Source organism: Homo sapiens, chromosome 3 (assembly GCF_000001405.40).
Source record: "Homo sapiens chromosome 3, GRCh38.p14 Primary Assembly".
NCBI classification, from domain to species: Eukaryota; Metazoa; Chordata; class Mammalia; order Primates; family Hominidae; genus Homo; species Homo sapiens.
Window position 1 is genome coordinate 198,024,798 of NC_000003.12, and position 12,789 is coordinate 198,037,586.

A 12,789-nucleotide genomic window follows, 5' to 3' on the forward strand; every position below is an offset into this window, starting at 1 on the left:
TGTTTGTTATTAGTTGTGCCAAATATTATGTGATTTTATCTCTTTTATGGTTTTGTATTTTAAATTATATTTTCATATTTTATGTCATTAATTTACTGATCAATACTGTATCTTGTTTATGTAAATATTAGTTTGGATGCTTATGTTTTATGAAAATATTGTCATTTCTTTAGAAAAAGTGCCTCTTAAAAATATATATGTAATTACTGTAATGTTACTTCTGGGCATATATTCTGAGGAAGTAATGGTAAATAGGTAATTTTGTTCTTGAGCAAATATTACTTTGTAATGGAAAACATGTCAATTTTATTTCAAAAGGTCTGAGGACCTCATGGGTTATAAGAATTAGTAAATCAGGCTGGACGTGGTGGCTCACGCCTGTAATCCCAGCACTTTGGGAGGCTGAGCCAGGAGGATTGCTTGAGCCCAGGATTCGAGACCATCCTAGGCAACAAAGCGAGACCCTGTCTCCAAAAAATAAAGGAAAAAGAATAAATCAGTTGCTGATTAATAATAGAGTGTTTTTTCCTTTGTAATTAGAAATCCAAAAAGGGCAAACTACAATTTTTTTTCCTTTTTCTTTTTCTTTTTTTTGAGACAAGGTCTTGCTCTGTCAGCTAGGCTGGAGTGCTGCTGCAGTCACGGCTCATTATATCCTCTACCTCCTGGGTTCAAGCGACCTTCCCACCTCAGCCTCCTGAGGAGCTGGGACTACAGTGTGCACCACACACCCGACTAAGTGTTTGATTTTTTGTAGAGAAGAGGTCTCACTATGTTGCCCAGGCTAGATTAGAACTTCGGGGCCCAAGCAATCCTCTTGCCTTGGCCTCCCAAAGTACTGGGATTATAGATGGCGGCCACCATGCCTCGCCTACTATTTCCTTAATTATCTTATTTGCACATCTGATATTATATGACATCACCTTATTAAGGACTTATAAAGATGTAGCCATTCTGTGACTTAGGAGCATCCAATGGAATGAATCTTCTGCACCCTACAAATGGATGTCAGGGAGGACAGCGTAAGCCTGAGAAATGCAGAATCAGCATTCCTGTGCCATTTCAGCTGCAAGAGCTAAACGGACCTTTAGAACTGGAAATTTAACTCTTATCATTAGTTACTTATCAAATTAACGTTTTTTTTGGTAACTGCTTTTCTTCTTTTCTGTTTTTTTTTGAGACAGGGTTTTGCTCTGTCACCCAGGCTAGAGACAATGGTGCGATCACGCTCACTGCAGCCACGAACTCCCAGGCTCAGGCGATTCTCCCACCTCAGCCATCTGAGAAGCTGGGACTACAGGTGCACACCACCACACCTGGCTGATTTTTCTTATTTTTTGTAGAGACAGGCTTTTGCCATGCTACTCAGGCTGGTCTTGAACTCCTGGGTTCATGTGATTCACCTGCCTCAGCCTCCCAAAGTGCTGGGACTACAGACATGAGCCACTTTGCCTGACCTGGTAATAGCACTATCAAGATATATTTTACATACCATACAATTTATGTAAAATTAACTTTTTTTTTCATTTTTCCTCTTTTGAGACAGGGTCTTACTCTGTCACCCAGGCTGGAGTGCAGTGGTGCGATCTCAGCTCTCTGCAACCTCCACCTCCCGGTTCCAGAGATTCTTGTGCCTCAGCCTCCTGCACAGCTGGAATCACAGGCATGCGCCACCATACCCAGCTAATTTTTGTATTTTTAGTACAAAAATTGACCAGGCTGGTCTCAAACTCCTGGCCTAAACTGATCCTCCTGCCTCAGCCTCCCAAAGTGCTGGGATTATAAGCATGAGCCACCAGTCCTGGCCGAATATTTCTTTTCTTTCTGTAACAAGATATTCTAAGCTCACTTTGTTCTTTGTCTACCCCTGACGTGGAATTAACCGTTTCTCCAGAGGCCCCTAGTTACTTTTAATGGAGTATGGTGTTTAGAGACTAAGATCTGGGCGGTAATTATACTGTTGATTGCTTTTGGTGGAGTGTTTGGTGTTAGAGACTAAGATCTGGGCGCTAATTATACTGTTCATTGCTTTTAGTGGAGTGTGGTGTTAGAGACTAAGATCTGGGTGGTAATTATACTGTTGATTGTCATTGATAATAACATTTGGGAATTGGGAATACCAGCTCATCAGGCCCTCTTAGTAAGGTAGGAAATGTATGTATATGTATCAGTACACTCTCCTGTGAGTGCGTGTGTGTGTGTGTAAGTAATCATGAGTTTGCATCAGTAAGGTTGGTTTGATTCCATCGGTTGGAGACCTTGTCTGATACCAAAGCATTTATTTTAGTTTTCCACCTTTTCACATATGTACTTCCTTCACCAACAGTGAGAAGTCCAGCTGCTGTCATCTCAGCATGTTTACTCATCTGATCTATCCACATCCCGTCCACTTTCTCCCACTCCCATTACCCTCGTCACCCGGCCAACTCTGCGTGACCTCCCGGTCACACACCTCCCCCACCCCTCCAAACAGATCACCTACCTTGCCTCACTTAACGGCTTTAGACGTAATTGCTTTTGAGGAAGGGGAAAGGAGAAAGGGAGGGATCACTGGGCTTTTTTTTCTTAAAATTGTGGCAAAATATATATAACATAAACATTTCCATTTTAACTGTTTTTACGTGTATAGTTAAGTGGCACTAAATACATTCACGTTGTCATGCACATTGCCACCGAGCGTCTCAGAAACTCTGTACTCACTAAACAATCCCTCCCTCTTCCTCCTCCCCCAGCCCTGACAGCCTCTATTCTACGTCCTCTCTCTGTGGATTTGCCTAATCTAGATAGTCCTTATAAGTAGAATCATACCATGTTTGTCCTTTTGTACCTGACTCCTTTTACTTAGCGTGGCATTCTCAGGGTTCATCCACATTGTGCCATGTATCAGAACAGTATTCCTTACGGTGTTCCTTTATGTCTCAATAACACTCCATTGTATGGATCTGTCACGTTTTGAATCAGTTGATGGACACTTAGGTCGTTTGTGTCCACCTCTTGGCTATTGGAGTCTTGCTGCAGCGAACACTGGCTTCCGCGTATCTGTCTGAGTCCCTATTTTCAGTCTACTCAGCAGTAGAATTGCTGTATCATATGGCAATTCTATGTTTAGCTTTTTTAGGAACTACCAAACTAGGTTTTTTGTTGTTGTTGTTGAGGGGTTTTTGGTGTTATTTTGAGGTTTCTTTTTTATTATTATTAATAGACTTTATTTTTTAGAGCAATTTTAGGTTCACAACAAATTTAAGTGGAAGGTACAGAGAGTTCCCATATACCCCTGCTCCACACACTCGTGGCCTTCCGCACCGTCAGCATCCTGTACCACAGAGGCATTTTTGGTACAATCGATGAACCCACATCATCATCCAAAGTCCATGTTCACATTAGGGTTCACTCTGGGTGTTTTCAATGAACCGACATCATCATCCGAAGTCCATGTTCACATTAGGGTTCACTCTGGGTGTTTCGATGAACCGACATCATCATCCGAAGTCCATGTTCACATTAGGGTTCACTCTGGGTGTTCTACATTCTGTGGGCTTTGACACCTGTAGGATATTCGTCCATAAGATAAATGAGTTGTTGAAATGGACTTTGTTATAAGTTAAAGATTGGCTATCTGTGGCTAAATAATTGCTGAGACTAACATAAATAAGAATAAATGAAATAAAAAGTGGGATGAAATACTTCAGGTGAAAGTTCAAAGGGAAACTGTATTATCTCTGTACAAAAGAGACCTTTAAGCGTGTGTTTTCATGTCAACCCTTTGTGTTCTTAACATGTTTTTCCCTGATGAAACTGAGATCATGGACCTTATCATATCACCTTTTGTGCTGATGGCACCTTTTAATATAAATTTTTAAGTAATTTATATATTGATTAAATAAGTCAGCAATTCACATGGTGAAAAATTCAAAAGATGCAAAAGAATGTACAGGGTACAGGAAAAGCCTTTCCCAGCCCCGTCTTTTAGTCACTCACTTCTCCCTTCGGAGGGAAGTAATATTACCAGTTTCTTGCATCCTTCTAAAGATAAACTCTGTGCAGGCACAAATTTATATTTTTGTTTCATTTTTTACACCAATAGTATCAAGTTACACATACTGTTCTGTGGTGTGTATTAAAGAGTCGTTCTTAGTATCATCTTACATCATTCCAGCCCCATGTCTGAACTGGCTGTGGACGTCTCAAGTACATTTGGTTGTACTTTGATCATTCTGAATTCAGTTCCTCCAAAATCCAGTTTAGGAGCCCTCTCTCAACAACGCTGCATTTCGGCTGTGTTGCTTCCAGCACTGGTCCCAGTCTCTCTAATTAGAAACCAGAATGATCATTTTCTACTCTCTGTTCTATAAAGACGGTCAATACAGACTAAGTCTTTAGATTACTCTCCTATTGAAATCTCTTATATCTATTTTATTTTAGGTTTACCTTCATAGTTCAAGCCATTATCACTTCACAGTTTCCTAACTAATTTCCCTCCTCTCATCTTACTTCCATGACCACGTTGATCCTTTTAAAATTTTAGTTTTGATCAAACTTTTACATGCAAATAGTTTGAAACAAATTTGTTGTCTGCTTCCAAAAAACTACAGCCTCAGGCCAGGCGCTGTGACTCATGCCTGTAATCCCAGCACTTTGGTTGGCTGAGGCTAACACTTGAGGTCAGGAGTTCGAGATCAGCCCAGGCAACATGGTGAAACCCTGTCTCTACTAAAAATACAAAAATTAGCCGGGCATGGTGGCCGCCTGCCTGTGATCCCAGATATTCAGGTGGCTGAGGCATGAGAATCGCTTGAACCTGGGAGATGGAGGTTGCAGTGAGCCAAGATCGCACCACTGCACTCCAGCCCGGGCAATGGAGTGAGACTACATGTAAAAACAAACAAACAAACAGAAAAACACACAAAAAACTAGAGCCTCTGTTATTACTTCCCTAATGTTTATTACTTCTTCCCAGAGTCTTCACTTTCAATTCTTAGTTGTTGTTTTGTTGGGGGTGGAGGAGTCAGGGGAGACTTACTATTTGCTTTCTTATTTTTTTTTATTATTATTACTTTTTTGAGATAGATTCTTGTTCTGTCTCCCAGGCTGGAGTGCAGGTGGCATGATCCCTCGGCTCACTGCAACCTCCGCTTCCCAGGTTCAAGTGATTCTCCTGCCTCAGCCTCCCAAGTAGCTGGGATTATAGGCGCCCGCCACCATGCCTAGCTGTTTTTTTTTATTTTTAGTAGAGACAGGGTTTCACCATGTTGGCCAGGCTGGTCTCAAAATCCTGACCTCAAGTGATCTGCCTGCCTGGGCCTCCCAAAGTGCTGGGATTACAGGCGTGAGCCACTGCACCTGGCCTGCTTTTTTATTTTTAAAAAGCTTATATTATTCTTTCATAAGGTTTGAATTTCAAATGTTAGCTGTTGACTTTGGAAAATAAGAATTTAGTTGGTTCGCCTCGTCCTCTTGCTGTGTTCACTTCCTCTTTCCCCATCGTACACTTCTTGTTTCCCATCCTCCCAGTGGTGATTATGGATAAATACGTATTCACTGTTTACATTACCAGGACTATGCAGACGTGGCGCCTGGTAGCATGCAATCATTACTTCCCCGTTCTCCCCAGTATTTCGTTTTCTCTGGATTTAAGACCTTGTTTTTTTGCAATTAGTTTTCTTTGTATTTAGCACTAATTCAATTCTAAGCTCTTCTCCCAGTTGGGCTCATCTCCTTTCAGTAGAACCAGATACCTGAGGTATTCTATCCATTTCATCTTGAGGAAATCTCTTCTGGACATTTCTGGCCTGTGCTAATCTCGACTATATAATCCTTATGTTGGCAGCACAGCTGGCATCTTGGGATCTCGAGTCAGGATCATCCTGGAGGTCCCTCTGGTCCCTCTGTCTCTCTCATATTGGATCCCCTCCTTCATGGATTTTGTGTCATATTCTTTTTTGGATTTTTTTTATTTTAATGGAACATATCTTCTAGTGGAGATTTGAGGAGTATGTGACGGAGAACAATGTTGAGACTTGCATGTCTGAAAGCATCACTGTTCCACTGTGACGCCTGCTGACAGCGTGGGAAGGCGGGACTTCATCTCTGCCCTCAGGGTCTTCAGCTAGTTTCCACCGTGATGTGACGCCTGCTGACAGCGTGGGAAGGCGGGACCTCACCTCTGCCCTCAGGGTCCTCAGCTAGTTTCCACCGTGACGCCTGCTGACAGCGTGGGAAGGCGGGACCTCACCTCTGCCCTCAGGGTCCTCAGCTAGGCCTGAGAATGAAATAGGCATAAGCCCGATGAACAGGAGGAAAACATACACATTTATTTAATCTAAGTTTTACATGACACAGGAGCCCACATGAGTAAATGAAAACTCAAAGAAGTGTGAAACCTATATACTTTTATACTACATTGAACAAAGGGAGACAGTTACAGAAAAGTAAAATGTATGCGGAGGCTAAAGGAAGATAAGAATTATTTTAAGAAGGTCTGTTTGTACCAAATTCTTTGGCTTTGACTCCCCATATTGGTGATAAAAATGTTTGTTTTCTCCTGGAAAAGGAAGGGTATTATTCATGTGGGAGTTGTGTCTTCTGCTTTCAGGAGGAAGGGGGATGTCAGAACAGTCTTGCTGGGTCTGCTGTGTTGAAGTCCCTTTAGCTGGAAACCTTTGTGCCAAAACAGCACATTTTGGGGTGGCGTGTTCTGCCGTCCTTCAATAGCTTGGGTGGGTATAGCTTTATTTTTGAAAATTATTTTCCTAATGGATGATTGGGTGCAGGAAAAAAAGAAAGAAAATTATTTTCCATCAGAATTCTGAAAGCATTTTTCCTTTGTGTGCTGACTGTCAGTGTCATTCTGAGTTTCAATTGCCAGAATCTTTTTTCTTTCTTCTCTGGAAGCTGTAAATTCTTAATTTTAACTTCGCATACCACATCCTCATCTGCCACAAGCCCCAGTATTCCAAAATTTAATGGGTTGATTCTATTTTTGGTGATCATTAACAGCCTGTTCATATTCAAGAAGTGACTGGAGCCTGGCACAGTGGCTCACACCTGTAATCACAGCACTTTGGGAGCCCGAGACAGGCGGATCACTTGAGGTCAAGAGTTTGAAAGCAGCCTGGCCAACATGATGAAACCCCTCATCTACTAAAAATACAAAAATTAGCCCGGTGTGGTGGTGGGCGCCTGTAATTCCAGCTACACAGGAGGCTGAGGCATGAGAATCACTTGAACCCAGGAGGTGGAGGTTGCAGTGAGCTGAGATGACACTATTGTACCACAGCCTGGGCGACAGAGTGAGACTCTGACTCAAAAAAAAAAAAAAAAGAAAAGAAAAGTGCCTGGAAGCCAGTTTGGAAGCTCTGAGCACACACATAGGGCTTGTTGACTGTGGTCTCCCTATGGGGCTCCTTTCTTACAAAACCTTTGATGTCCGTCCTTTTGACGGGTCAGATTGGTCAGAGAAACTGCCAGTGACCCGCCTAAGTTTATATGCTGTCAGAGTTCTAGGAAGGAAGTCGATTTTGAATGCTTTAACCTGTAAACTTCGAGTCCTTATTTTCATGATGGCATCCCAGCTCTCTGCTGTACTTAGTTTTCCCCAGAACAGAAAAACTCTGTTTTACCCTTTCCAAAAAATAAATCTCCAGTATGCTGGTGTATTAGTCCATTTTGCGTTGCTGTAAAGGAGTATCTGAGGCTGGGTAATTTATAAAGAAAAGAGGTTAATTTTGGCTTACAGTTCTGCAGACTACAGGAAGCATAAGTGCTGTCATCGGCTTCTGGTGACGGCTCAGGAAGCTTACAGTCATGGCGGAAGGCAGAGTGGGGGCAGGCTTATCACATAGAGCGGGAACGAGAGAGGAGGGAGCTCCCGACCTCTTGAACAAGCAGATCTCTGGGGAACTTATTCCTGTGGGGAGGGCACCAAGCTATTCATGAGGGATCCATCCCCATGACCCAGACACCTCTCACTAGGCCCCACATCCAACACTGGGAATCATATTTCAACAGAAGATTTGGACAAATACCCAAACTATATCAGCTGGGTTCGGAACGAACTGGTCCAGCTGGTCGCAGTGAGGGAGAGGAATGCTGGCGTCTGTCTCTGAAACAGACGTTTGTCTAATCCTTTTGATTGTAGCTCTTACTTCTTGGTACCAGGTGTGGCTGTGGCAGTCCTGAGCCCTCTTGTGTTCTGCAGATCAGTTTCTTCCTGGCTCTTCCTGTTGCTGGATTTTGATCCAGCTTTCCTGAGTCTGTTATGTCTGCTGCTACCTGTACATCTACCCTCCTGCCCACACTTAATTCCCAGAATTCCACAATGAGAATACTTCAACTTCAGCAAGGGAGTTTTCCTCTTGTCCTATCAACACTCTCATATAATTCTCATCTCTAAGCCATGTGCATTCTGCTTCCCAACCTGTAACATCTGCCCGGCAGTAGTCCAAATCCTGTGTACATCCTTAGGATGCAAATGCTGTCTTCCATGAAAGTTTCTAATATTTGTTCTTGTTTCTACCATTTATTGACTCTTAATCATAAAATAGTCTGGTACTGTTCATTTTTTGCTTTTTCTTCTAATTTCAAAATACAGTTAGTATTTTATAAAAAAAATTATTATTTTTATTATCTTTTTTTTTTGAGATGGAGTCTCACTCTGTCACCCAGGCTGGAGTGCAGTGATGGGATCTCAGCTCACTGCAACCTCGGCCTCCTGGGTTCAAGTGATTCTTATGCCTCAGCCACTCGAGTAGCCCACCATTACGCCTGGCTAATTTTTGTATTTTTAGTAGAGACGGGGTTTCACCAGGTTGGCCAGGCTGGTCTCGAACTCCTGACCTCAGGTGATCCACCTGCCTTGGTGTCCCACAGTGCTGGGATTACAGGCATGAGCCGCTGTGCCCGGCTGAAAAAAATTTTTATATCCTACTCCTCTTTCCTCAATTGAAACTGCTAGAGGGCAGGCACTGTATTGTGTACTTTTTTAGTGTCCTTTTCAGCGCCAAGCACGGCGCTTGATCAAGTCTCGCTTTAAAGAATAATGATGTTGCACTGTAGCTGTGGTGATGCTTACTTGATGTGGATCACGGAGTGACAGAGAAGAGGTCACACTTCATTGTTTGTTTTTGTGATATCTTAAAACAAATGTTCAAAAGAGTGATATATTTCAACTTAACTGATGATAGAGTTATTTCAAAATGACTTCAAATATACTTTTGAAATTATCTTTGGTAGTTTAATAGTCACCTAAGGAAATCAATCTTAGTAATTTTGTGTCACACGTTGTCTTAACCAGGTTAGTCAACTACCTTTGCTGGACTTGCTTCTGGGCAACCTTGGGCTATTTCCAAAAATTATATCTACTTGCTACTTAAAAATTTGCTACCATCAGACAGGTTCAGAAGCATGCACTGACTTTGAAGATAGGTCCAAGAGAGAAGTTTCAGAAGTGTTTAAAGGGAAGTAGCATAATTGAATGTGAAGTCTTTGTAGAAAACAACTTTGAGGTTTTTTTTAAAATAGTTAAAATTTTTGGCTGGGTGCGGTGGCTCACGCCTGTAATCCTAGCACTTTGGGAGGCCGAGGCGGGCAGATCACCTGAGGTCAGGAGTTCAAGACCAGCCTGGCCAACATGGTGAAACCCCATCTCTACTAAAAATACAAAAATTTAGCTGGGTGTGGTAGCACAGGCCTGTAGTCCCAGCTACTTGGGAGGCTTAGGCACGAGAATTGCTTGAACCCATGAGGCAGAGGTTGCAGTGAGCCAAGATCATGCCACTGCACTCCAGCCTGGGCAACAGAGTGAGACTTGGTCTAAAAAAAATAAATAAATTAAAATTTTAAAAAATTACTATTTCTAAATGTTTTAAAAGTTAGCATTAATGTGTTTTCTTTTGCTTTTAAAAACTGATTTCATTAGCTATCACGTGCAAATGAGCTATGAGTCTTGCCTTTAAAGATAAGGTCTGGATAAAATTCCTGTGACTGAGCAGAGCATTTAGGGTTAGGGAGAAAGAATGAAGAACTTGTGCTGTGTGGCGTTTCTATGCTGTATAAATTCTTGTTTGTTTATAATAAACATTTTTATAATTTCAAACCCCAATTAAAATTTGACTTATGGCCAGGTGCAGTGGCTCAAACCTTTAATCCCAACACTTTGGGAGGCCAGGGTGGGTGGATAACTTGAGTCCGGGAGTTCGAGACCAGCCTAGGCAACATGACAAAACCCAAACCCCATCTCTACAAGAAAATACAAAAATTAGCCAGGCATAGTGGCACATGCCTGTAGTCCCAGCTACTCAGGAGGCTGAGGTGGGGGGATCATCTGAGCCCAAGGTACTCAAAGCTGCAGTGAGCCAAGATCGCCACTGTATTCCAGCCTGGGCAACAGAGCAAGACCCCATCTCAAAAAAAAAAAAAAAAAGCTGTATGTGTGTGCCCCCTTGTAATTTTTGGGAAAAGTGTCCATAGCTTCCATCAGATTCTTAAAAAGGTGCTAGATTCAAAGTTTAAGAACTCCTGCCACACAGAGTGTAATTCTTTTAGGACCTAAATAACCCTCTTTTGGTTTTTTTTTTTTTTTTTTTTGACACGGAGTCTCGCTCTGTTGGCAGGCTGGAGCGCAGTGGCATGATCTCGGCTCACTGCAACCTCTGCCTCCCAGGATCAAGCGATTCTCCTGCCTCAGCCTCCTGAGTAGCTGGGACTACAGGTGCATGACACCACGCCCAGCTAGTTTTTGTATTTTTAGTAGAGACAGGGTTTCACCATGTTGGCCAGGATGATCTCGATCTCTTGACCTCATGATCTGCCCGCCTCAGCCTCCCAAAGAGTGGGATTACAGGTGTGAGCCACCGCGCCCGGCCAACTTAACTCTTTATATGAGGTTAAAGTTATGCCCACACTGCAAATTGTGCTTTATAGCCAATGTTTTTAGTAAGTTTTAATATATTTTCCTGTAGTTGAAGGAGAAATCTCTTAGAATCTTACTGACCTGATATTTATTATTTTTATATATCTATTTTTTTCCTGTTTGAAGGTTTCTTGTTCTCCTCAAGGTCTGAAAGTTTGGGTCCAAGATACTTCATATTTGTGTAGTCGGGCTGGGCAGGTCCTCCCTGTCAGTATCCAGATGAATGGCTGGATTCACGATGGAAACCTGCTCTGCCCATCATGTTGGGACTTCTGTGAGCTCTGTCCTCCAGAAACAGATCCTCCAGCCACTAACCTGACCCGAGCTCTGCCACTTGGTGAGTGCTCTCTATGGTTGGAATAAAGAGGGAAAAGTGAAGGAGGTGAACTTCTCTTATAAAATGTTGGCATTTCCCTTCAAGGAAGCTCTAAAACAAGTTGAGTTTCTTCTCTGCTGATTGCATTTTTATGGGAAGTTCCTCCTTCCCACCATTATCGGAAATCTAAGGTAGGTCAACTTGACACTTTTGAGTAAGAGCAAGGGTGAGGAACCTTTCTGGTGAAGAACCTCTGAGTTGCACAGAATTATTCATCAAAGATCACAAAAAGTGAACGTTGTATCCATTCATTTGGAAATTAAGGGTAAACAAAATTCTGCTCATTAAATACAAAAAGTAATTAAATATATTTTAGTCATATCATAATCAGCTGAAGTGAAAGTGAGGGAAAGACCTGGAAAAGATACCGAAAAAAGGAATTGGCATACCCACAAAGAGGAGAAAGATGCAATAACACACATGCGAAATGAGACAGAGAGATGTGGGCTGGCAAAGACCGGGGGGTTCATTGAGGAATAGGACCGAGTGCTCGTTCTGTGAGACTCCAGAGAATGGAACTGGCACCAAGAGATTGAAGTTATGAGGAGACAGATGCCAATTAAACCCTTTAGAAGCAGGAGGGGAATGCAGAAAACACCCTTGAGAAGAACGCCTTCCCCATGAAATTGACGGTGTTCAAACTGAGGCTGATAATGCATTGCTGAGAGTATAAAAGCAGAATTCATCAATTCACAATTAAAATTTTGATTTAAATGACCTATGAGATTTTTATGGCAGTTTGACATTTCAGATTATGAACAATAAAAATCTTATGCAATGTTTCATTTTCTCAACTAGAGGTGTTTTTTAGGTGGAACTGCATTGCCCTTTGCCTAGTCCATGGTGTGATGTGATTGAAAATAGAGGGCCACACTCAGTTTTCAAGTCAAAGTTTCTCCACCTCTAAGATTAACTTCCCTTCTTTTCCAAATCCTGAGGACCTCATCCCCTAGGGGCTGTAGGCAGAGGATGAGTTTTGGAAGATGAGTACTTGTGTTGGGGGTCCCCAGGAGCACCTTAAATTTGTTGGTTCACCAGAAGGACTCACAGGACTCAGCTGCTCATCATAGTACTCATGGCTAAGATTTGTTAAAGTGAAATGATGCAGAGCAAAATCAGCAATGGGAAGAGGTGCGTGGGGCAAAGTTGTGAGGAAACCAGTTCCCAGCCACCAGCAAAGGCCCTCCTTGCATGCAGAACTTTCTAAAGATAGCAGTTTCAGGCCTGCTGTATTAACTCTGCTCTACACAGTACTCCAAGTGAGGCAGCTGAGTTTTCTGCAGTTACAATCATAATGACACAATTAATTTTATTTGATATAAAATCTTAGGTCAAGGCAGGTGGATCACTTGAGGTCAGGAGTTCAAGATCAACCTGGCCAACATGGTGAAAACTCATCTCTACTAAAAACACAAAAATCAGCCACATGTGGTGGTATGCATCTGTAATCCCAGCTACTCAGGAGGCTGAGGCAGGAGAATCACTTGAACCCGGGAGGCGGAGC

General features: G+C 42.4%; 1 protein-coding gene across 7 annotated transcripts in view; it reads left to right on the forward strand.

Annotated features, from left to right (window-relative positions):
* Nucleotides 1-12,789, forward strand: part of LMLN (leishmanolysin like peptidase) — an 83,504-nt gene that overhangs the window by 64,581 nt on the left and 6,134 nt on the right. For all 7 annotated transcript variants that reach the window (XR_007095764.1, NR_026786.2, NR_026787.2 and 4 more), the window contains one exon: nucleotides 11,036-11,246. Coding sequence is in view for 4 of the 7 variants with exons in the window: in NM_001136049.3 (NP_001129521.3) it covers nucleotides 11,036-11,246 (211 nt within the window). In the remaining 3 variants the exon portion in view is untranslated. The remainder of the gene's footprint in view (nucleotides 1-11,035; nucleotides 11,247-12,789) is intronic.